This window comes from Homo sapiens, chromosome 9 (assembly GCF_000001405.40).
Source record: "Homo sapiens chromosome 9, GRCh38.p14 Primary Assembly".
NCBI lineage: Eukaryota > Metazoa > Chordata > Mammalia > Primates > Hominidae > Homo > Homo sapiens.
In genome coordinates, this window is record NC_000009.12 from 128339078 (window position 1) to 128362288 (window position 23211).

The window sequence follows — 23211 nt, forward strand, 5'->3', positions numbered from 1 at the left end:
CAGGGTTTCGCCCTGTTGGCCAGACTGGTCTCGAACTCCTGACGTCATGTGATCTGCCCACCTCAACCTCCCAAAGTGCTGGGATTACAGGCATGAGCCACTGTGCCCAGCTTATTTTTATTTTTTGAGACACGGTCTTACTTTGTTGCCCAGGGTGGAGTTTAGTGGTGCAATCACAGCTCACTGCAGCCCCAAGTTCCAGAGCTCAAGCAATCCTCCCACCTCATCTTCCTGAGTAGCTGGGAGTACAAGCAAGAGCTACCTGGCTAATTTTTTTTTTTTTCCTGTAGAGGCAGAGTCTCACTATGTTGCCCAGGCTGGTCTTGAACTCCTGGCTGAAGTGATCCTCCTGCCTCAGCCTCCAAAAGTGCTGGGATTACAAGCTTGAGCCACCACGCCAGTCCCAGAATCTTTTTTTTTTTTTTTTTTTTTTTTTTTTTTGAGATGGAGACTTGCTCTGTCGCCCAGGCTGGAGTGCAGTGGCGCAACCTCGGCTTACTGCGACTTCCGCCTCCCAGGTTCAAGCAATTCTCCTGCCTCAGCCTCCCAGGGATCTATTAATGTTTAAGGACAAGTGGCAACTGTGGATGCCCAACATGGTTACTTAACAAGAAACCAATTTTTCAGAGGCCAAGAGTCCCAACAGGGCCGAGAATCTGGCCACTCGCCTATGGCTCTGGAGGTGGCATGACAAATAAGGGTGGCATGACAAATATAGGTTAACTGATTTGTTGCAGGGACCAGAGATCATAGATGGTGAAGTTAACTAAGGGCCTCCAAATCCGTGTCCTTTGTGCCAACAGGTGTGCCAGGCTGCTCACAAGACACCATGGTACGAGAAAGGATTTCTCGTAGTCACCTAGACACCAGGTTTATGGCTGTGTCGCAGCAAAGTTGGGTGTGACTTATGATTTTCGTTCTGAACCTTATTTGTTAGATAGGTCCTGGAGTCCTTAAAACACGCAGGTGAAAGTCAGGGAGTAGGAGCCATCAAAATTCGACTCTGGTGGGACTCGAACCCACAACCTTTGAATGACCACACTAGGCTCAGCTAGAAGTCCAATGCGCTATCCATTGCGCCACAGAGCCGGCTGCGGAACCCGGCCGCCCCGCTCACCTCTGCCTGAAACCGCCCTCTTAGCGAGCTTCTAGGTGTGGTGCTGGGTGTTTGCTGAACTCGGCCGGGGCCCGAGAGCGTGCTCCGGGTTTTCGGCTGTGGTGTGGACTGGGGTGCTCTTCCTACATCCGGGCGCTGGGGACAGCAGGGGGCAAGGGCCGGGGTCGGCAGGGAGGAAGGGCCGGGGTGAAGCCCGCCTGTCTCCTCGCGGACTCGGGGGTCTCCTCGGCTGGGTGGGGCCGCGCGGCGTGGACTACAACTCCCAGCGTGCCGCGCGGCGGCGCCGCCCGAAGCCGTTGCGCGAGCAGGGCGGGCTGGGGCCGAGCGGCGTCAGGCGCGCTGGGGCTGCGCTGCGCCGCCGGCTCTGTGGCTTGCCGGCTTCGGGGAAGGTGCGGCAGGCGGTGCTGCGGCCTGGCACAGCAGGTTTGGGGTGCGGGAGGCGGGCGGGGTAGGAGCGCGGCGGGCGGGGCCGGGCGGCGGGCGGGGCTGGCGGGGCGGCCGGGCCATGCAGGGCGCAGAGCCGGCTAAACCCTGCTGAGACCCGGCTCCGTGCGTCCAGGGGCGGCTAATGCCCCTCACGCTGTCTACGCTGCTGCAACCGGGCCGCATCTGGACGGGGCGCCGCGCGGCGGAGCCGACGCCGGGTGAGCATAGACCGGGCTGGTGGGTTCCCGGGTGGGGACATGTGCCAGGCCGAGTCGGGCGAGGTGGCGGTGCGGACCCCAGGTGGGGGGCGCGCCCTGCGGCGCTATTTCCCCGACAGACGCACTGTTACCTTGCTGTCTAGGGGCGAGGGCGGCACGCGTGACCCGGGACAGGGGCCCGAGGGAACTAGTCACCCTCTTCTGGCCTCTTCTTGCCCCAGCCTTCCAGGACAGGTTCCTGCCCCTCTGCTATGGCGGGCTATGGGAGGCCAGAGATCTGAGGACCCTGGACCCTGGCGTTGGGGTTGAGGACTCTGGTTCAGTTCCCCCGCCCCCGGCTTTTGCTTTTCGCGAGGGGGAGGGGGAGATGGTCTCCCAGGGCTTCTTGTGGTCCAGACCATTCCCTTTTCCTGGCTTGGAGGCTCTCAGGCCATTTCACATTTGTGACCTTCATCTACTCCCAAGAACAGGAAAACTCGGAGAAAAACAGTCCCATCAGATGTCCCCTTGATCGAGTCCTCAAAGCTCCAGGAATAGAACCCAAGAGTCCTAGCTCAACCCAGCCCCTGAAGCACAGTCAAGTCATTCGCCTTCCCCTAAGCCCTAGACCCCAAAGATTCATCCGAGTGGCTGTGTGTGTCTGTGTGATGGGTGGTGGTGTCTTCAAGGTCCTCCTCGCCTCCCTCAATCAGCTTTGCCCCCTGGGCGGTCACCTTTCAAGCACTTCCAGGCTCTAACTCGTTTTCTGGGTCGCCCTCTATAGACCAACAGACGCACTGCGATACCTGAGTCTATGGGCAGGGACCAAGCAGGGCTCCTTTTCCAGGGAGCTGCCCCTTTGACTTGGCCTGGTCATCCACAGAACCTCCCTGGGTTCTGGGTGGGGAGTCGAGCCAGAGACTTTTTTTTTCTTTTTTTGAGACGGAGTCTCGCTCTGTCTCCCAGGCTGGAGTGCAGTGGCACAATCTCGGCTCAATGGAACCTCCGCCTCCCGGGTTCAAGCAATTCTTCTGCCTCAGCCTCCTGAGTAGCTGGGGTTACAGGTGTGTGCCACCATGCCTGGCTAATTTTTGTATTTTTAGTAGAGACAGGGTTTCACCATCTTGGTCAGGGTGGTCTCGAACTCCTGACGTCATGATCCGCCTGCCTCGGCCTCCCAAAGTGCTGGGATTACAGGTGTGAGCCACCACTGCCAGCGAGCCAGAGGCTCTTAAGTCAGTACCCACCCCCAGGCCATCCGGTTTTAGGGACCCTGGATGTCAGAAGAGTGAACTGTCATGTTTTGGCTAGAAAAGCCTCTTAGAACACGTCTCAGGACAACTCGGTGGTGGCCACTGCGCAGACCAGACTTCGCTCGTTCTCGCATGCCTCGCTCCGCTTTTCCTCCGCAACCATGTCTGACAAACCCGATATGGCTGAGATTGAGAAATTCGATAAGTCGAAACTGAAGAAGACAGAGATGCAAGAGAAAAATCCACTGCCTTCCAAAGAAACGATTGAACAGGAGAAGCAAGCAAGCGAATCGTAATGAGGCGTGCACCGCCAATATGCATTGTACATTCCACAAGTATTGCCTTCTTATTTTACTTCTTTTAGCTGTTTAACTTTGTAAGATGCAAAGAGGTTGGATCAAGTTTAAATGACTATGCTGCCCCTTTCACATCAAAGAACTACTGACAACGAAGGCTGCGCCTGCCTCTCCCATCTGTCTATCTGGCTGGCAGGGAAGGAAAGAACTTGCTTGTTGGTGAAGGAAGAAGTGGGGTGGGACGACAGTGAAATCTAGAGTAAAACCAGGCTGGCCCAAGGTGTCCTGCAGGCTGTAATGCAGTTTAATCAGAGTGCCATTTTTTTTTTTGTTCAAATGATTTTAATTATTGGAATGCACAGTTTTTTTAATATGCAAATAAAAAGTTTAAAAACTTAAAAAAAAAAAGAACACGTCTCACTACACCCATTGCACAGAGGGCAGATACTAAGGTCTAAAATGTGAAAAGGTCTTGCCCAAGGTCACTTGGAGAATGGTGGGCAGAGATGGGACTATGAGACGAGAACCAGCCTCCTGCTTCTCACTCTTGGAATTCCTCACCTCAAGTGCCAAGCCCCTAGCCTGCCCCTTCCAGGCCAAGCCTGGAAAGGGACCCCTGTGGTCAGTCACCCAACTCAGTATGGCTAAGCCTTACCACAGGCTGTCCCCTTGGGATCACAGTGGCCTGGCTGTCTGGGCTGGGAGGTAGGAGACCTGGAGGGTTGGGTGTTTGGGTCCACTAACTGCCCTGTGTCCGCAGGCCACAATGCTGCTTGGAGCCTCTCTGGTGGGGGTGCTGCTGTTCTCCAAGCTGGTGCTGAAACTGCCCTGGACCCAGGTGGGATTCTCCCTGTTGTTCCTCTACTTGGGATCTGGCGGCTGGCGCTTCATCCGGGTCTTCATCAAGACCATCAGGCGCGATATCTTGTGAGTACCTGGCCCAGCCTTTCCTGGGGTCTGCCACACTACAGTGAGCTTCTGGTCCCCCAAATCTCCCCAGGCCAGACCTCATGTTCTCTACCAGCACAGGGCAGCTGAGCTGAGTTCCAGAACAGCAGCCTCTGCTCCACACCCGTACCCTGGCAATAGTACCTGGTCCCTCCATCTCCAAGGTCAAAGTCTTCTCCCAGGGAATCTCCCTAACTTGAGGCTCCCAGGCCTTGGGCAGGCTTGGCCTAGGACGTACATTGAACACCAAGTGTGTTGAGACATCTGCAAGGGGTCCTGAGGACTCTGTAAGTTTATGAAAGGGTAAAGAGGAATTTTGGGGAAAGGCCCTGCCCTCAGGTTGGCAGGGGTGTGAGATGGCACAGGGGGCACTGAGTTCTAGAGCAGAGCCCCTACTCAGATGTCTGGGATAACCTGCTCCCCAAAGAAAGCCCGGTATGCTCCAAGGGACATCCTGTACCAGAAATATCTATTCCCGCTTGTTCTCTACTAGGTGCCAGGCTAGCTTTGGGGTCCAGAGAGGAATAAGGCAGACCCCATCTGCCAAGCTCAGATTGGTCAGGAGAAAGAAAGGGACACAGCACATCTGTAAATTGGCAGTGCCATGTGGGCAGAGACCCTGGCACAGCCTTGCTCACTACTGTGTCCCAGCACCCAGTTCAGTGACCCACACCCCACACAGGCAGCTCAGCATTTGTCAATCTTGGTTGATTGCAAAAGAAGGCACGGAGTGGCACACCAGGAAGGGTGGTAGCTGTGGGAGCATGGAGCAAGGAGAAACAGCTGCCAGCCAGGACCCTGGGAATCAGAGAAGGCCTCCTGGAGAAAAAGCGGCTGTACTTGAGAGGCGCCTTAGTGGTGGTGGAAGGAGATGAATCCAACCAGAAGGCACAGCATCAGCAACAAAGGCATGGAGTCCAGGGCTGGGCGCAGTGGCTCACACCTGTGATCCTAGCACTTTGGGAGGCCGAAGTGGGTGGATCACTTGACCTCAGGAGTTTGAGACTAACCTGGGCAACATGGCAAAACCCCGTCCCTACCAAAATACAAAAAAGTTAGCCAGGCATGGTGGTGCACACCTGTGGTTCCAGCTACTTGGGAGGCTGAGGTGGGAGCATCATTTGAGCCTGGGAAGTGGAGGTTGCAATGAGCTGACATTGCATCACTGCACTCCAACCTGGGTGACAGAGTGTGACGCCATCTCAAAAAAAAAAACAAAAAAACAAAGGTGGCAGGAATGGGATGTTGCCAAGTGATTCCACAAACTTATTGAACATCTACTCTGCCTGGCACAGGACCCAGGGGATAGAGTGTTGAATAAGACAGAAGCCTATCCCAGCTAGGCTCACAGGGAGGAAGACTGGACAGACCAGCAAACTCATTCATTATTTACTGTGGTCATGGTGGGTCGAGGGAGCAGCTGGACTGTGGGAGGCCCCAAACAAGGAGTTTGGACTTTTACAGGAAGCTCTGGAGACCTAGGAGGTTTCTGCTGGAGCAGCAGGCTGAGAGGGTAGGAGTAGAACTCTGGAGCCAGAGAGGCCTAGAGTTCAAATCTCAGCTCAGCCACCCTCCATCCATGAAGCTTTGAGCAGGCCACGGCACCACGAGAGCCTTGATTTCCTTCTGTGTAAGGGGAGGGGAATCATACGAACTCTCAGTGTTATTGAGAGGCATCAGTAAGGCAGTGCATGTTCCCAGCAGGAGCCAGGAGATAGAAGTGTTGTAGGGGGTCTGGCTCATGAAGCATAGGCTGGCGAGGCAGCAGCCTGGGGTAGGGTGTCAGGACCCCTCCCTCCCAACCATGGCAGACACAGCGCCCTCTCTTGTTCACACACAGTGGCGGCCTGGTCCTCCTGAAGGTGAAGGCAAAGGTGCGACAGTGCCTGCAGGAGCGGCGGACAGTGCCCATTTTGTTTGCCTCTACCGTTCGGCGCCACCCCGACAAGACGGCCCTGATCTTCGAGGGCACAGATACCCACTGGACCTTCCGCCAGCTGGATGAGTACTCAAGCAGTGTAGCCAACTTCCTGCAGGCCCGGGGCCTGGCCTCGGGCGATGTGGCTGCCATCTTCATGGAGAACCGCAATGAGTTCGTGGGCCTATGGCTGGGCATGGCCAAGCTCGGTGTGGAGGCAGCCCTCATCAACACCAACCTGCGGCGGGATGCTCTGCTCCACTGCCTCACCACCTCGCGCGCACGGGCCCTTGTCTTTGGCAGCGAAATGGCCTCAGGTGAGCCCCAAGGGGGCGGGGGACAAGCAGGAACCCCATGGGATCTTACACAGACCACAGCTCCCTTCCAGCCCTGCCAAGGCTGTGTGGGTCAGTGGTTAAGGGCACAGAGTGGAGTCAGACAGCTTAGGCAGTGCCACGAGTAAACGAGATCCTGGGGAAGGGACTGATTTCTCTGAGCCTCAGTTTCCTCATCCGTCGTTCCTACCTCATACTGTTTTCAAAAAGGTACTTCAGACTGGGCATAGTGGCTCACAGCTGTAATCCCAGCATGTTGGGAGGCCAAGGCAGGAGGATCCCTTGAGCCCAGGAGTTTGAGACCAGCCTAGGCAACATAGTAAGACCCTGTCTCTACTAAGAAATTTTTTTGAGACAGGGTCTTGCCCTGTCACCCAGGCTGGAGTGCAGTGGTGCAGTCACAGCTCACTGCAGCCTTGACCTCTCAGGCTCAAGCAGTCCCTCCACCTCAGCCTCCTGAATAGCTGGGACCACAGACATGCACCACCATGCCTGGCTAAATTTCACATTTTTTGTAGATACTCAGTTTTGCCATGTTGCCCAGGCTGGTCTCAGACTCTTGAGTTCAAGCGATCCACCTACCTCTGCCTCTCAAAGTGCTGGGATTATAGGCATGAACCACCACACCTGGCCTACTAAAAAAAGTTTTTTGTTTTTTTTTGTTTTTTTTGTTGTTGTTGTTTTGAGATAGAGTCTTGCTCTGTCGCCCAGGCTGGAGTGCAGTGGCGTGATCTCGGCTCACTGCAACCTCCACCTCCCGGGTTCAAGCAATTCTCCTGCCTCAGCCTCCTGAGTAGCTGAGATTACAGGCACCCGCCACCACGCCCAGCTAATTTTTTTGTATTTTTAGTAGAGACGAGGTTTCACCATGTTGGTCAGGCTGGTCTCCAATCCCTGACCTCGTGATCCACCCGCCTCGGCCTCCCAAAGTGCTGGGATTATAGGCATGAGCCACCACGCCCGGCCTAAAAAAAGTTTTTAAAAAATTAGCTAGGCTTGGTGACATGGACCTGTAGTCCCAGCTACTCAGAGGCTGAGGCAGGAGGATCACTTAAGACTAAGAGGTTGAGGCTGCAGTGAGTGATGATTGTGCCACTTCACTCTAGCCTGGCAGACAGAGTGAGACCCTGTCTCAAAAAAAACAAAATAAAAGGCCGGGTGTGGTGGCTCATGCCTGTAAATCCCAGCACTTTAGGAGGTCGAGGTGGGCAGCTTTGAGATCAGGAGTTTGAGACCAGCCTGGCCAACATGGTGAAACCCCGTCTCTAATAAAAATGCAAAAAAAAACCTAGCCGAGCATGGTGGTGCGCACCTGTAGTCCCAGCTACTCGGGAGACTGAGGTAGGAGAATCGCTTGAACCCAGGAGACAGAGGTTGCAGTGAGCCGAGATCACGTCACTGTGTTCCAGCCTGGATGACAGAGAGAGGTTACGTGTCAAAAAAAAAGATACTTACCTGAAGCACTAGCAACATGGCTGATGCTAGGTGGCCCCTCAGTACAATGGTAATCATCCTTGTGACTAATTAGGCCGTATCTAGCTCATCTGTAAAATGGGAACAAAATTAATTCCCCACTTTCCTCACAGAGCCTGCATTTTATTTGCTGCCACATTGGGCACCTGCAAAGTACTGAGGTTGCTGCTTTCCAAGAGCAGCTCTAATCTCTATAAAGACCGAGTGAGGTAGGGATCTTGGTTTTATGGATGATGAGCCTGGAGTTCAGAGGGGTTTGTGAGGAGCTCACCCAAGATCACACAGTTAGTAAGTGGTAGAACTGGGGTTTGATCTTCAGCTTGATCACAGCACTCTGTTTTTTCTCCCCACACTGTTGTGGTTGTGGGATAATGAATAGGGAAGTCATTAGGATGCTGAAAGGGGGCCTGGCATGGTGGCTCACGCCTGTAATCCCAGCACTTTTGGAGGCCAAGGAGGGCAGGTCACCTGAGCTCGAGAGTTAAAGACTAGACTGGCCAACATGGTGAAACCCTGTTTTTACTAAAAATACAAAAATTAGCCAGGTGTGGTGGCACACGCCTGTAATCTTGGCTACTCAGGAGGCTGAGGCACAAGAATCACTTGAACCAAGTGAGCCGAGATCATGCCACTGCACTCCAGCCTGGGCGACAGAGTGAAACTCTGTCTTAAAAAAAAAAAAAAAAAGATGCTGAAAGGGGGCCAGGCACAGTGGCTCATGCCTGTAATCCCAGCACTTTGGGAGGCCAAGGCAGGAGAATCTCTTGAGCCCAGGAGTTCAAGACCTGCCTGGACAATATAGTGAGACCCTGTCTGTCTCTATTTAAAAAAAGCAAAAGAAAAAAAAAAAAAAAGAAAGGAAAGAAAAAAATGGTGCTGAAAGGGGAGAGGGAAGAAGGCAGCCAGGGAAGAAGAGAGGGTTGGGCAAATCAAGAGGAAGCCAGGAAGGTGGGGCCAAGCCGACCAGCGCTGCTCCATGCCCGGGGGTGGGGGTTATGTGATGTCCGTGCAGTGCGCAGGGGAGCCTGAAAGCAGGTTCCCGCTCTCGGAAGGGGATGGAGGGCCACTGGCCTCTGACCCGCACTCCTCCCTTCTATCTGGTGCACCACAGAGTAAGTAGTGCGGGATAGTGGGGGGGAGCCCAGACCTTGATGTGAGGTAGAGCTGGCATTGCACGCCAGGTCCAGCACATTCTAGCTGTGAGCAGGTCCTCTCATTCTCGGAGCGTCAATCTTCTCATCTGTAAGAGGGGCTGTCAATGGTCCCTCCTTCCCAGGGCTGTGAGACCAGGGAATGCAGGTAAAGCGGACCTACTCTGTGGTTAGCCCATGGCTAATAGAACCATTGCCGGTGCCCCTGTCAACACTGAAGGCCCAGTTGCTTCACTGCCTCTCCTCCTGCCCAGCCAGTATCCTCAGCAACATGGCCAGCCCTGCTGGGAGCAGAGGTCCCTGGGAACATGGGGTTTTCTGGCCTGCCTGCTGACTGCCCTGTCTCCCCACAGCCATCTGTGAGGTCCATGCCAGCCTGGACCCCTCGCTCAGCCTCTTCTGCTCTGGCTCCTGGGAGCCCGGTGCGGTGCCTCCAAGCACAGAACACCTGGACCCTCTGCTGAAAGATGCTCCCAAGCACCTTCCCAGTTGCCCTGACAAGGGCTTCACAGGTGGGCTCCATCCCCTCCCCATAGAGGGGCTCTCACACAGGCCCTGGACAGAGCACTGGCCTCAGTGCCAGAAGGAGGCTTTTCTGGAAACTTGCCATGTGCCTGGAACATGTCACGTCACCTCCCTTTTTCCATCTGGAAAATGGTGACAGTAAACCTGGGCCACTCCAGGGTTACTGTGAAGGTGACATGAGCTGATGTGTATCAGTGCCAGATACAGGGCTGAGAACACAGGAGCTCACAAAGTCCAGTGTGATTTGTTGAACAAGCCTTCATTGATGCCTAATGGGCAGAATCCTGTGGACTCCGGGAACCTGCCTGGTCTGGGCTTTGGTTGGGGTTGGGTGGGAGGGTGGGTGAGGAGCAAGACCCTTTGTATATTCATCAAGTGCCTCTTCAGTGCAGGACACTTCAGGATCTCCAGCTGTGATCCTCTCCCAGCACTGTGCTGCCTCCCTGACCCCACCTCCAGGCAGCCTTCCTGAGCCTCTCACCCCTCTTCTTTTATACTGTAGCCTACCTGGTTCTTCTGCTCTTCTCATTCTCTTTCCTGTGAAGCCACATTGCCTGGTGGCTCAGAGCTTGGGCTGTCGAGTCAGATCCGAGTTTATATCCTGGTTCTACTGCTTCCTTTGTGTGAACCCTGACACCTGCCCTGCCCTTGGAGCCTCAGTTCCCACAGCCATAAAACTGGGGACAGTAGCAGAACCTACTCTATGGGGTATCTTTGAGGGTTGAAAAAAATACAGTGGGGCCAGTCCTGAAGCTAGGGTGTGGCAGGAGGGGCTCAGTAACTGGTCATTGTCATCAGCACTGTTTAACTTCTCTCTTGTATGTGAATCTGGTCTCTTGGGTGCATTTGTCAGCTGCTTGAGGGCAGGGACTCTGGCTGGTTGCTCTGGTGCCCTCATAGTGCCTAGGGCTGGCAAACAGCAGGCAGGCAGAGAGCATGAGGTGTCTCGGCAGGCATTCTAAACACGTGGAGTCTGCCTGTGGAGTTCCTGACCTCCAGGGAACCTCAAGTCTGGTAGGGCCGAGCCTCACATAGAAACTCTAACGTGGCAATCCCTGTCGAGGGCTGCAGAGTGGGACAGATCAATGCTCAGCAGTGCGGAAGCTACCTCAACACCCCACTTCCTGCAGCTAATGCCTCCCTGTGCTCTATGACTTGGGGCAGGTGTCACCTTTATCGTGAAGCCCACCTGGCACCACCTCCCCTCCTGCAAGCTTGGGCCAAATGTGGCTACTGGGTTTCAACAGGTCCTGTGCCCTCCCTCGGCACTTGTTGCTTAGTATTGGAATTGCCTGTGTCCTCATCTGACTGTTCCACTGAGCTGTGACTGCCAAGAGGGCCAGGCCCGTGCCCATCTTACTCACTGATGTCTCTCTCCACCAGGGCCTAGCACAGAGCAAGGGCCCAGGAAATATTTGTTGGAATGGATGCCGGTGTTAGAGCTGAATGGTATCTGAGGTTATCAGAACAGGCTTCCTAGCAAGGGTGTGATGGGAACAGGTGTTGAAGGGTGCACACCTGCAGGTGTCCATTTGTGTGACCCTTTGCCCAGCCCTGAGCTGCCCCCGACAGCCACTCGCGTCTGTTTTCTTTAGATAAACTGTTCTACATCTACACATCCGGCACCACAGGGCTGCCCAAGGCCGCCATCGTGGTGCACAGCAGGTAAGGGGCAGGTGCCCAGGGTGGGGTAGGCACAGGCAGGGCTGGGGAGCCTCCTTCTGCCTTTCTAGGGCCCGCTCAGCCCTTGGCCCTGTGCCTTCCCAGGTATTACCGCATGGCTGCCCTGGTGTACTATGGATTCCGCATGCGGCCCAACGACATCGTCTATGACTGCCTCCCCCTCTACCACTCAGCAGGTAACTCTAGGGCTGTCACACAGCCTCCAGCACCTGCCAGGTCTCTAGGAACCCCACCCCCATCAGGCAGTGTGCTGCAGTAGAAACACACAGCTTTGGGCCAGGCGCAGTGACTCACACCTGTAATCCCAGCACTTTGGGAGGCCAAGGTGGGCGGATCACTTGAGGCCAGGAGTTCGAGACCAGCCTGGCCAACATGGCAAAACCCCATCTCTACTAAAAATACAAAAATTAGGCTGGGTGTGGTGGCTCACACCTGTAATCCCAGCACTTTGAGAGGCCAAGGTGGGCGGATCACTTGAGGCCAGGAGTTCGAGACCATCCTGGCTAACACGGTGAAACCCCGTCTCTACTAAAAGTACAAAAAATTAGCCAGGTGTGGTGGCTCATGCCTGTAGGCCCAGCTACTCGGGAGGGTGAGGCAGGAGAATGGCGTGAACCCGGGAGGTGGAGCTTGCAGTGAGCCAAGATCGTGCCACTGCACTCCAGCCTGGGCAACAGTACAAGACTCTGTCTCGGAAAAAAAAAAAAGAAAGAAATTATCTGGGTGTGGTGGCGTGTGCCTGTAGTCCCAGCTATCTGTGAGGCTGAGGCACGAGAATTGCTTGAACCTGGGAGGCAAAGGTTGCAGTGAGCTGAGATCACGCCACTGCATTCCAGCCTGGGCAACAGAGCGAGACACTGTCTCAAAAAAAAAAAAAATTAGCTGGGTCTGGTGGCGTGTGCCTGTAATCCCAGCTACCTGTGAGGCTGAGGCATGAGAATTGCTTGAACCTGGGAGGCAAAGGTTGCAGTGAGCTGAGATCACGCCACTGCACTCCAGCCTGGGCAACAGAGCGAGACACTGTCTCAAAAAAAATAAAAATAGGCTGGGCGCAGTGGCTCACGCCTGTAATCCCAACACTTTGGGAGGTGAGTGGATCACGAGGTCAGGAGTTCGAGACCAGCCTGGTTAACATGGTGAAACCCTGTCTCTACTAAAAGTACAAAAAGTAGCTGGGCTTGGTGGCGGGTGCCTGTAATCCCAGCTACCCAGGAGGCTGAGGCAGGAGAATGGTTTGAACCCAGGAGGCAAAGGTTGCAGTGAGCCTAGATCGTGCCATTGCACATCAGCCTGGGTGACAGGGCAAGACTCTGTCTCAAAATAAATAAATAAATTAATTTAATTTAATTTAAAAATAAAAATAAACAGGATTAGCCAGGCGTGGTGCACATGCCTATGGTCTCAGCTACTGGGAAGGCTGAGACAGGAGAATCACTTGAGCCTGGGAGTTTAAGGCCAGCCTGGGCAACATGGTGAGACCTGTCTCTAAAAAAAATTTTGTTTTAGGCCAGGTGTGGTGGCTCACGCCTGTAATCCCAACACTTTGGGAGGCCGAGGCGGGCGGATCACGAGGTCAGGAGATCAAGACCATCCTGGCTAACACGATGAAACCCCATCTCTACTAAAAATACAAAAAAAAAAAAAAATTAGCCGGGCGTGGTGGCGGGCGCCTGTAGTCCCAGCTACTCGGGAGGATGATGCAGGAGAATGGCATGAACCCGGAAGGCGGAGCTTGCAGTGAGCCGAGATGGCATCACTGTACTCCAGGCTGGGCGACAGAGCGAGACTCCGTCTCAAAAAAAAAAAAAAAAGTTGTTTTAAATTGAAAAAAGGATGAGCACACCAGCCTCACAGTGTGTGTGGCAGTGTCCCACGGGGCATCTGGGCCTGTCTCATTTCAGTTTGTTTCCACAGATATGCATGGCATTGCTGCTTGTTTGTAGGGGCTTAAGGGAAGACAGCTTGAATAAATATAGCTCCTGCCCTCCAGGTGCTTAGAGTCGGGTGTATATGTGAGTGTAGGAGAGAGGCAGGGAGCAAGAGGGCAGCACCAGGGAAGAGCCTGGTGATGGAAGCCGGGGAGGCTTCTTGGAGGAGGTCACCCAAGGCAGGCAGATGTGAGGTGCAGAAGCCTGCAGGGCAGCACAAGCCTGCCTGGCTGGATGGCAGTATCACTGATTTGGGGCCGGGGAGGGTCTTCATCTCGCTGACCCTCAGGGGCCATCCCTCTGCCTCCAGGAAACATCGTGGGAATCGGCCAGTGCCTGCTGCATGGCATGACGGTGGTGATTCGGAAGAAGTTCTCAGCCTCCCGGTTCTGGGACGATTGTATCAAGTACAACTGCACGGTGAGCGAGAGCGGGAAGGGTGAGCTGTCCCTTTCCCCTAGTTACCCTCTTCCCAACTACACTCCGGGGCATCTGTCTTATAGCTGAGGTGGCCAGTCATTCCAAAGGGCTCATTTGTGGCAAAGTTCCCATTGTTCAGATGGGAAGGCTGAGACCCGGAGAGGGAAAGGATGGCATGGCCAGCCCCTGGGGAGAGTAGGGGCTTGAGGGATCAGGAGAATCCTAGTGTAGTGAGGGCAGCCTCTGGAGCCTCGAATCACACCAAGTTCACCCCCAGATTGTGCAGTACATTGGTGAACTGTGCCGCTACCTCCTGAACCAGCCACCGCGGGAGGCAGAAAACCAGCACCAGGTTCGCATGGCACTAGGCAATGGCCTCCGGCAGTCCATCTGGACCAACTTTTCCAGCCGCTTCCACATACCCCAGGTGGCTGAGTTCTACGGGGCCACAGAGTGCAACTGTAGCCTGGGCAACTTCGACAGCCAGGTGCGGCCAGGTTGGGGATGGGCGAGGCTGCTGCAGGGATGGCCCACAGAAGGCACTGGATGCAGAGGGGAGGGCAGAGTTCGAGCGTGAGAGTGTGGGTGCTGGAGTCCCACTTCCCCCTCATTGTCCAGTTTTGGGCCCATGGTGAGAGAGCCCAGGCCCAAGTCTTGGCCTTCGCAGGTGGGGGCCTGTGGTTTCAATAGCCGCATCCTGTCCTTCGTGTACCCCATCCGGTTGGTACGTGTCAACGAGGACACCATGGAGCTGATCCGGGGGCCCGACGGCGTCTGCATTCCCTGCCAGCCAGGTCTGCCACTTCGGGGTCAGAGAGGGAGGGGTTGGCCTGGGAAGGAAGGAGGCCAGGCGCGTGTGGATGGGGAGCCTTGTTCTGACCAGTGGCCATCAGTTATCTCTGCTCTTAGGGTTACAAGTTACTCATTTATTTGTGTATCCATCCATTCATTCATTCATTCGCCATTCTATCTGTACATCAGTCCATTCATTCATTCTTTTTTTTTTTTTTATTTGAGACGGAGTCTCGCTCTGTCGCCCAGGCTGGAGTGCAGTGGCGGGATCTCGGCTCACTGCAAGCTCCGCCTCCCGGGTTCACGCCATTCTCCTGCCTCAGCCTCCCAAGTAGCTGGGACTACAGGCGCCCGCCACTACGCCCGGCTAATTTTTTGTATTTTTAGTAGAGACGGGGTTTCACCGTTTTAGCCGGGATGGTCTCGATCTCCTGACCTCGTGATCCGCCCGCCTCGGCCTCCCAAAGTGCTGGGATTACAGGCGTGAGCCACCGCGCCCGGCCAAGCAATTCTCTTTTCTCACCCTCCTGAGTAGCTGGAATTACAGGCAAACCCCACCATGCCCGGCTAGTTTTTCTATTTTCAATAGAGATGGGGTTTCACCATGTTGTCCAGGTTGGTCTCGAACTCCTGACTTCAAGTGATCCATCCACCTCGGCCTCCCAAAATGTTGGTATTACAGATGTGAGCCACCATGCCCGGCCCTCATTCATTCATTTTCATATTGACTCCAAATGACCCTGAGTCCAGGCTGCTTGAGATTTATTCTGGCTCAGCTCCTTAGCTCTGTGTCATGGGCGAGTATTCAGCCTCACTGTGCCTAAGTCCCCTTATCTACAAACTGTGCCCATGGCAGCACCCACACATGGGGCTGGCCTGAGGATTATGTTTCATAAAGAACATAAAACTCTGAGTGGGTCCCGGCATGGAGCAGAGGCTTGGGGCGCTGGCTTTGTTAGGCTGTCCCCAAGGAGCCTGACTTATGTTCATCCTCCCATCAGTTTCGAGAACAAACATCACTGGCTCAGTGTGTCCGACCTGCCAAGATGAGCTCCTGGGCTGGGGGAGGGTGGGGCATTTCTGTGGCAAGCAGCATGACTCAAATCAGATCAAGACACAGAGTACAGGCTGGGAGTGGTGGCTCACACCTGTAATCCCAGCACTTTGGGAGGCCGAGGCGGGTGGATCACCTGAGGTCAGGAGTTCGAGACCAGCCTGGCAAACAGGATGAAACCCATCTTTACTAAAAAATAAAAAAAAAAAATTAGCTGGGCCTGTTGGCGTGTGCCTGTAATCTCAGCTACTCAGGAGGCTAAGGCAGGAGAATTGCTTGAACCCAGGAGGTAGAGGTTGCAGTAAGCCAAGATTGCACTGCTGCACTCCAGCCTGGGCAACAAGAGCAAAACTCCGTCTCAAAAAAAAAAAAAAAAAAAAAGACGCAGGGTACACCTGGTGACAGGACGGGTGGGAGAGGCTGCCTAGGGCAGATCTGACCCTGCCTTCCCCACCCCAGGTGAGCCGGGCCAGCTGGTGGGCCGCATCATCCAGAAAGACCCCCTGCGCCGCTTCGATGGCTACCTCAACCAGGGCGCCAACAACAAGAAGATTGCCAAGGATGTCTTCAAGAAGGGGGACCAGGCCTACCTTACTGGTGGGTCCCCAGCCCTTCACAGCCCCTTCCTGAGGGTTGGGGGAGGAGGGGACCTTCTCCCACCTCCAGAGGACACCTTCCCAGGACTCCCCCAGTCCTGGCCCTTGTGGTCAAACAAATCCTTGGGCTCCAGCAAAGCCTCCCTGGCTTGAGCCCTGGTCTCAGAGCTGGCCAGGCCCAGCCCTGCCTCATCCGGCCCCTCCCTAGGTGATGTGCTGGTGATGGACGAGCTGGGCTACCTGTACTTCCGAGACCGCACTGGGGACACGTTCCGCTGGAAAGGTGAGAACGTGTCCACCACCGAGGTGGAAGGCACACTCAGCCGCCTGCTGGACATGGCTGACGTGGCCGTGTATGGTGTCGAGGTGCCAGGTATGTGCAGGCAGGCGCGAGGTGTGGGTAGGGAGGCACCACCCAGGGGCACCACCAGCTACTCAGTGTCTACCCTGCCACCCCCAGGAACCGAGGGCCGGGCCGGAATGGCTGCTGTGGCCAGCCCCACTGGCAACTGTGACCTGGAGCGCTTTGCTCAGGTCTTGGAGAAGGAACTGCCCCTGTATGCGCGCCCCATCTTCCTGCGCCTCCTGCCTGAGCTGCACAAAACAGGTGTGTCCCTCCCCTGCTCCAGCTCTCGGATCCCAGGTCCCTTCCCGTTTCCTTCTGGAGAGACCCGGTTGGCTGTTACTTGACCTCTGCACACAGCCTGGCCGGGCAGTTGGTAAAGTGACCTGCCTGTGTAGAGGTGAGCAGACGGGGCTGGCAGAGAAGACACACATTGTTCCTTAGTAGAACACATATTAGGTGCCAGGCACAGCGCTAAGCCTCGGGATACGGCTGGTGAGCTCTGGATGTTTTGCCTTCTTGGAGTTTTAGAGCAGGAGAGAGGCTGGCCTAGGACAAGGCATTCCAAAGGTAAAGAATCGACCACATAATCTGTCATGAGATTAGAGTTAAACAGATAAAAAGAAAAATGAACCACAGAGCAAGCTGATAGGAAAGCAAAAAGGTGGGACGCTTGGGATGACTAGAAGGCTCCTCTGAGGAGGGGATGGTTCAGCTGAGACCTGAATGAAAGGAAGGACTTTATGGCGGTGGGAGGCACTCTAGGCTGCAGGAATAGACACTGTAAAGCCCCCGAAGCAGGAAGGAGCTTGGGTGCTGGAGGAACGAAAGGGGGCCCCCAAGGCTGGAGCCAAGTGAGAGGGGCAGGCAGTGGCATGAAGTGGGAGAGAAACCAGCAGGGGCCAGAAGCCCAGGGCCTTGCAGGCCAGGGTAAGAGTCGGGACTGTCCCGGGGGCAGTAGGGAGCCACAGAAGCATCTCAGCAAGGCCGGGCGCAGTGGCTCATGCCTGTAATCCCGGCACTTTGGGTGGGAGGCCAAGGCGGGCAGATCACTTGAGGTCAGGAGTTCGAGACCAGCCTGCCCAACATGGCAAAACCCCGTCTCCACTAAACATATAAAAATTAGCTGGCTGGGCGTGGTGGCTCACGCCTGTAATCCCAGCACTTAGGAGGCCAAGGTGGGCGGATCATTTGAGGTCAGGAGTTCGAGACCAGCCTGGCCAACATGGTGAAATGCCATCTCCACTAAAAATACAAACATAAAAATAAAAAAATTAGGCTGAGCATGGTGGCTCACACCTGTAATCTCAGCACTTTGGGAGGCCAAGGCAGATGGATTGCCTGAGCTCAGGAGTTTGAGACCATCCAGGGCAACATGATGAAACCCCGTCTCTACCAAAAATACAAAAAAATTAGCCAGGTATGGTGGTGGGCGCCTGTAGTCCCAGCTACTTGGGAGGCTGCAGCAGGAGGATCGCTTGAGCCCCGGAGGTGGAGGTTGTAGTAAGCTGAGATCACGCCACTGCACTCCAGCTTGGGCTACAGAGTGAGACTCCGTCTCAAAAAAAAAAAAAAAAAAATTAGCCAGGCATGGTGGTGGGCGCCTGTAATCCCAGCTACTTGGGAGGCTGAGGCATGAGAAGCACTTGAACCTGGGAGGTGGAGGTTGCAGTAAACCGAGACCGTGCCACTGCACTCCAGCCTGGGAGACAGAGTGAGACTCTGTCTCAAAAAAAAAAAAAAAAAAAAATTAGCCGGGCGTGGTGGTACATACCTGTAATCCAGCGACTCGGGAGGCTGAGACAGGAGAATTGCTTGAACCCAGGAGACCCAGGAGCCACAGGTTGCAGTGAGCTGAGATCATGCCACTACACTCCAGCCTGGGCGACAGAGTGAGACTCTGTCTCAAAAAAAAAGCATCTTAGCAGGTGGGAACCTGGTCAGACTCATGCTCTACAAAGCTCTCTGGCTGCTGTGTACGGAGTGGGAGAGGATTGCAGGCAGCCCTGAGGGAGCTGGGAGACGAGGGAGGGGCTGTTGCAGTTGTCCAGGTGGGAGGTGGGCAGCGGGCCCGCAGTCGCCCACAAGGCAGCACCATCTTTCTATCTGTTGGCCCATTGGTGGCTCTCAAGAGTTCCCTGGTGGGCAGGAAATGCTGAGGCTCATGCCCATACCTGCCCCTGCTTTCCTCAGCCCTTGGTGCCTCTTCTGGGCCCTCCCTGGCTGCTCACCCTTTGGAGCACATTTCCCTGGCCACCTCCCACGTTGTCGTCATATCAGTCCTGCCTTGATGGTGGGCACTCCCTAGCCAATGTGGCTTCTGCCAGAGAGTGGGTACCTGGAGTGCCTAAAGCATCGGGGAGGGTTTAGGACTTCAGTGTGGTTCTGAAGGTTGGAGACACTGTGGCCAGGCTAATGGCCAAGACCATGAGCTTCCGGAGGATTGAGCAGCACCATACTTCTGTCCAGGAAAGGCAGGGAGGCTCTCAGACCTTGTATTTCAGATGGGCTTTGCTGCAGAACAAACCACCCCCAAACTTACTTGCCCCAAAATGGCTCGAAACAACCAGTTTATTGATGCATAATTCTGTGGGTAAGCAATTTAGGGGTTAAGTGCAGCTGAGCAGTTCTTCTATTGACCTTGCTTTGGGGTCATCACTTAGTAACTTAGCTGGGGCAAGAGGCAGTTAGATGGCCTCACCCACGTGTCTGGCTCTCGGCTGCTTACCTCTGCAGCACTGTCCAACAGAACTTTCTGCAGCGATGGAAATGTTCTAGGTTTCTGCTGTCCAACACAGTAGCCACTAGCCTGGCAGAGCTACTGAGCACTTGAAAGGTGGCTGCTGGCTGGACGCCGTGGCTCACGCCTGTAATCCCAACACTTTGGGATTAAATTTTGTTTAATTAACTTAAATTTATTTATTTATTTGAGATGGAGTCTTGCTCTATCGCCCAGGCCGGAGTGCAGTGGTGCAATCTCAGCTCACTGCAACCTTTGCCTCCTGGGTTCAAGTGATTCTCCTGTCTCAGCGTCCCCAGTAGCTGGGATTACAGGCACGTGCCACCACACCTGGCTAATTTTTGTATTTTTTTTATTAGACATGGGGTTTTGCCATGTTGGCCAGGCTGGTCTCGAACTCCTGACCTCAGGTGATCCGCCCACCCTGGCCTCCCAAAGTGCCGGGATTACAGGCGTGAGCCACCATGCCTGGCCTTGTTTAATAATTTAAATGTAAATAGCCACATGAGGTCATATTGGACGGCGCCGGTCTGGGCCCTCACCTGGGATGGCTCATCTCTGCTCCACGTGGCCTCTCACCCTTTGGAAGGCTAGACTAGCCCCAGGGCACCCCCAAGCAGGTAGAGGTGGAAGATGCAAGGTCCCCCGAGGCCTAGACTCACCCAGAACTCCTACAACATTGCTTTTGCCACCTTCTGTTGGTTAAAGCAAGTTGTAAAGCCAGTCCAGATTGAGGCCAATGGAGATTGAAAAAGTCGAGCTCTTGCCAGGAGAAGTGCCAAAGCCACATAGCAGAGGTGTGTGTGTACAGGGAGGGGAGGAATCTGCAGCCATTTTTGGTAGTCTGTCTCATCCAGGTTCCAATCCCAGTTCTACCACCCTGAGCATCAGTCTTCTCATCTGTACAGGATTAATACCATTGATTGAAAGATGCGGCCAGGCGTGGCAGCTCATGTTTGTAATCCTAGCACTTTGGGAGGCTGAGGCAGGTAGCTCGCTTGAGCCCAGGAGTTCAAGATCTGGGTGGGCAACATGGCGAAACCCCATCTCTACAAGAAATACAAAACTTGGCCAGGCGCAGTGGCCCACGCCTGTAATCCCAGCACTTTGGGAGGTCGAGGAGGGTGGATCATCTGAGATCAGGAGTTCGAGACCAGCCTGACCAACATGGTGAAACCCCGTCTCTACTAAAAATACAAAAAATTAGCTGGGCGTGGTGGTGGGTGCCTGTAATCCCAGCTACTTGGGAGGCTGAGGCAGGAGAATCGCCTGAACCCGGGAGGCCGAGGTTGCAGTGAGCCAAGATCGTGCCACTGCATTCCAGCCCCGGTGACAGTGCAGGACTCCGTCTCCAATAAAGAAAGAAAGAAAGAATTACAAAACTTAGCCAGGCACAGTGGTGCACACCTATAGTCCTGGCTACTTGGGAGGCTGAGGTAGGAGGATCACTTGAGGTCGGCAGGTGGAGGTTGCAGTGAGTTGAGATGGCATCACTTCACTCCAGCCTGGGTGATAGAGTGAGACCCTGTCTCAATAAAAAAGAAAAAAATACCATGAATTTTTTATGTACGAGTAAGAAAATATGTGCTGCTAATTATACTAGTTCAGAGATGTTAAAATCTGCAAGCACGTCCGTGTTAGAATCCAGAGAATACGGTTGAGCACCTGCCTTATGGGGCTGATGTACAGATGAAATAAGCTCACACTGTTACCTGGTAGGTACTCAAAGGGAGACATCACAGTCAGAAGACCTCCGTTCTGGTCCCCACTCTGCTGTCACTCAGCATGTGACACTAGGCAAATAGCCTCCCTTCTCCAGGCCTGTTTTCCCATCTGCAAAGTAGGGGTGGGTGGGTAACTAGCAGCTGTCCCCATGCCCCAACTTTGCCACAGCTGCTGTATGACCATTCTTTGCAAACTGTAAAGGGCTGTGCCTCCTCCCCCACTTCCCTCCCCTGTTTGTCCTCCAGCCCTGCTCCCTGCCTTCCTCAGTACTGGTGGTTGGGAAGCTGGGAGCTCGGGCCCCTGCCCTGCACTGAGTCTTCTTCCCTGCTCTCCCAGGAACCTACAAGTTCCAGAAGACAGAGCTACGGAAGGAGGGCTTTGACCCGGCTATTGTGAAAGACCCGCTGTTCTATCTAGATGCCCAGAAGGGCCGCTACGTCCCGCTGGACCAAGAGGCCTACAGCCGCATCCAGGCAGGCGAGGAGAAGCTGTGATTCCCCCCATCCCTCTGAGGGCCGGCGGATGCTGGATCCGGAGCCCCAGGTTCCGCCCCAGAGCGGTCCTGGACAAGGCCAGACCAAAGCAAGCAGGGCCTGGCACCTCCATCCTGAGGTGCTGCCCCTCCATCCAAAACTGCCAAGTGACTCATTGCCTTCCCAACCCTTCCAGAGGCTTTCTGTGAAAGTCTCATGTCCAAGTTCCGTCTTCTGGGCTGGGCAGGCCCTCTGGTTCCCAGGCTGAGACTGACGGGTTTTCTCAGGATGATGTCTTGGGTGAGGGTAGGGAGAGGACAAGGGGTCACCGAGCCCTTCCCAGAGAGCAGGGAGCTTATAAATGGAACCAGAGCAGAAGTCCCCAGACTCAGGAAGTCAACAGAGTGGGCAGGGACAGTGGTAGCATCCATCTGGTGGCCAAAGAGAATCGTAGCCCCAGAGCTGCCCAAGTTCACTGGGCTCCACCCCCACCTCCAGGAGGGGAGGAGAGGACCTGACATCTGTAGGTGGCCCCTGATGCCCCATCTACAGCAGGAGGTCAGGACCACGCCCCTGGCCTCTCCCCACTCCCCCATCCTCCTCCCTGGGTGGCTGCCTGATTATCCCTCAGGCAGGGCCTCTCAGTCCTTGTGGGTCTGTGTCACCTCCATCTCAGTCTTGGCCTGGCTATGAGGGGAGGAGGAATGGGAGAGGGGGCTCAGGGGCCAATAAACTCTGCCTTGAGTCCTCCTAGCCTGTGTGCAAACCACCCAAGCCCACCCTGACCCCAGAACCCCACAGCCCCACTGTGGCCGCTTGATCCCCCACGCCAACCCCCTGGCCCATTGACCCGCCTCATCTGTTCATTCACTTATCTAAGCTGAGGGTGTAGCAGGTAAGATGCCGCAGCCCCTGCCTCCAATGTGCTGGTTCAGCCGGGGGCAGTGCCCATGTGAATCTGGCAAGGTGTTTAACAGTGTGGGCTTGAAAGTCCAAACCAGCTCTGTCACTCTAAGTGTGTGGCCTTGGGGAAATGACTCAGTTTCATCTGTGAAATGGGATTCATCAGTTAAGAGGATTCAGAAGCTAAAAGTGCTATCACGAGTAAGGAGCTTGAGGGGAAACCGTCACCTCGGGCAGGACCCTGACTCCGCCTGAGGTGCATTTTCCCAGTTGTTTAGGGGCGGGAAAGATTTGCAGGGGTGGGGGCTGCAGTGAGAGCCAAAGCAAGGCTGCCTGGCAGCCCGGACAGAGGCCAGGGAAGCTTCCTGGAACAGTCAACACAGCTGTCCCACCAGCAGTGCCGGTGGAGAGCCAGCTGTCTCCTAGGCCCCGATGGAGGAGTCACACCCACGCTGGAAACTCACTGCCCAATGGGAAGGGGTTCCAGCACAGCCCAGGGCGGTGGGCAGTGCAAGCCCCTGGGCCTTTATCTCCACTATGGGCTTTCTAAGGAAGGAACCAGAACTTGGAGGTTTTCAGTTACATGGCCAACATCTCACAGCAAGTAGAGAGGGCTGGAATGGAGCCCGTGCCCTTCCTGCCACACCACCCTGCCTCCTGGTGCAGAAGGCGGGGGAAGCCAGAAAGCCTCCATTCCACGCATGCCTGCAGGGCCGCCTTGGCCACGCCCCGGGCCAGCAGCTGACAGTGCAGGCGGAGGGTAGCCAGGCTGAAAGCTGGGGTGCCTCCTGGGGGAGTGCACTTGGAAAGACAGAGGAATCCAGTGCCTGTCTTGGGAGAATTTGGGATGCAGAGGCAGAACTGGAGTGGGGGCCTTGCGGAGCGGTGCTGAGTGGAGTCATGTGGCAGGTATAG

The 23211-nt window shown here is 55.0% G+C and overlaps 1 protein-coding gene, 1 non-coding gene and 1 pseudogene across 5 annotated transcripts, besides 5 other annotated features; 2 read left to right on the forward strand and 1 right to left on the reverse strand.

The window, feature by feature from the left end:
* Positions 827-1468: a silencer, noted in NCBI's record as "fragment chr9:131102183-131102824 (GRCh37/hg19 assembly coordinates)". NCBI's record gives its function as "represses an EF-1alpha promoter that drives an FKBP-Casp9 reporter gene in an ReSE screen in HepG2 liver carcinoma cells {active_cell/tissue: HepG2}" and the evidence as "EXISTENCE:reporter gene assay evidence [ECO:0000049][PMID:32094911]".
* Positions 827-1506: a biological region, named in NCBI's record as "ReSE screen-validated silencer GRCh37_chr9:131102183-131102824".
* On the reverse strand, positions 999-1089 carry TRR-TCT3-1 (tRNA-Arg (anticodon TCT) 3-1). The gene is given in 2 exon segments: positions 999-1034; positions 1053-1089. It is a non-coding gene; the product is annotated as a tRNA-Arg (tRNA).
* Positions 1097-1506: a silencer, noted in NCBI's record as "silent region_20336". NCBI's record gives its function as "represses an Ori minimal core promoter by ATAC-STARR-seq in GM12878 lymphoblastoid cells {active_cell/tissue: GM12878}" and the evidence as "EXISTENCE:reporter gene assay evidence [ECO:0000049][PMID:35858748]".
* SLC27A4 (solute carrier family 27 member 4) lies at positions 1450-22393 on the forward strand. 4 transcript variants are annotated; one of them, XM_024447391.2, is made up of 14 exons: positions 1450-1540; positions 1677-1761; positions 4050-4216; positions 6078-6472; positions 9468-9626; positions 11235-11304; positions 11407-11498; positions 13561-13670; positions 13948-14157; positions 14338-14464; positions 15976-16113; positions 16321-16485; positions 16573-16719; positions 21257-22393. In XM_024447391.2, exons 3-14 carry the CDS (start codon positions 4056-4058, stop codon positions 21412-21414), a joined length of 1932 nt encoding a protein of 643 aa, XP_024303159.1. In that variant the 5' UTR covers positions 1450-1540; positions 1677-1761; positions 4050-4055; the 3' UTR covers positions 21415-22393. The 4 variants fall into 4 exon arrangements, with proteins under 4 accessions (XP_024303159.1, XP_016869711.1, NP_005085.2 ...); XM_017014222.2 differs by having other exon boundaries at positions 1450-1506; NM_005094.4 differs by having other exon boundaries at positions 1450-1761.
* Positions 1577-1976: a silencer, noted in NCBI's record as "silent region_20337". NCBI's record gives its function as "represses an Ori minimal core promoter by ATAC-STARR-seq in GM12878 lymphoblastoid cells {active_cell/tissue: GM12878}" and the evidence as "EXISTENCE:reporter gene assay evidence [ECO:0000049][PMID:35858748]".
* Positions 2613-2792: an enhancer, noted in NCBI's record as "active region_29079". NCBI's record gives its function as "activates an Ori minimal core promoter by ATAC-STARR-seq in GM12878 lymphoblastoid cells {active_cell/tissue: GM12878}" and the evidence as "EXISTENCE:reporter gene assay evidence [ECO:0000049][PMID:35858748]".
* Positions 3080-3683, forward strand: TMSB4XP4 (TMSB4X pseudogene 4; annotated as a pseudogene).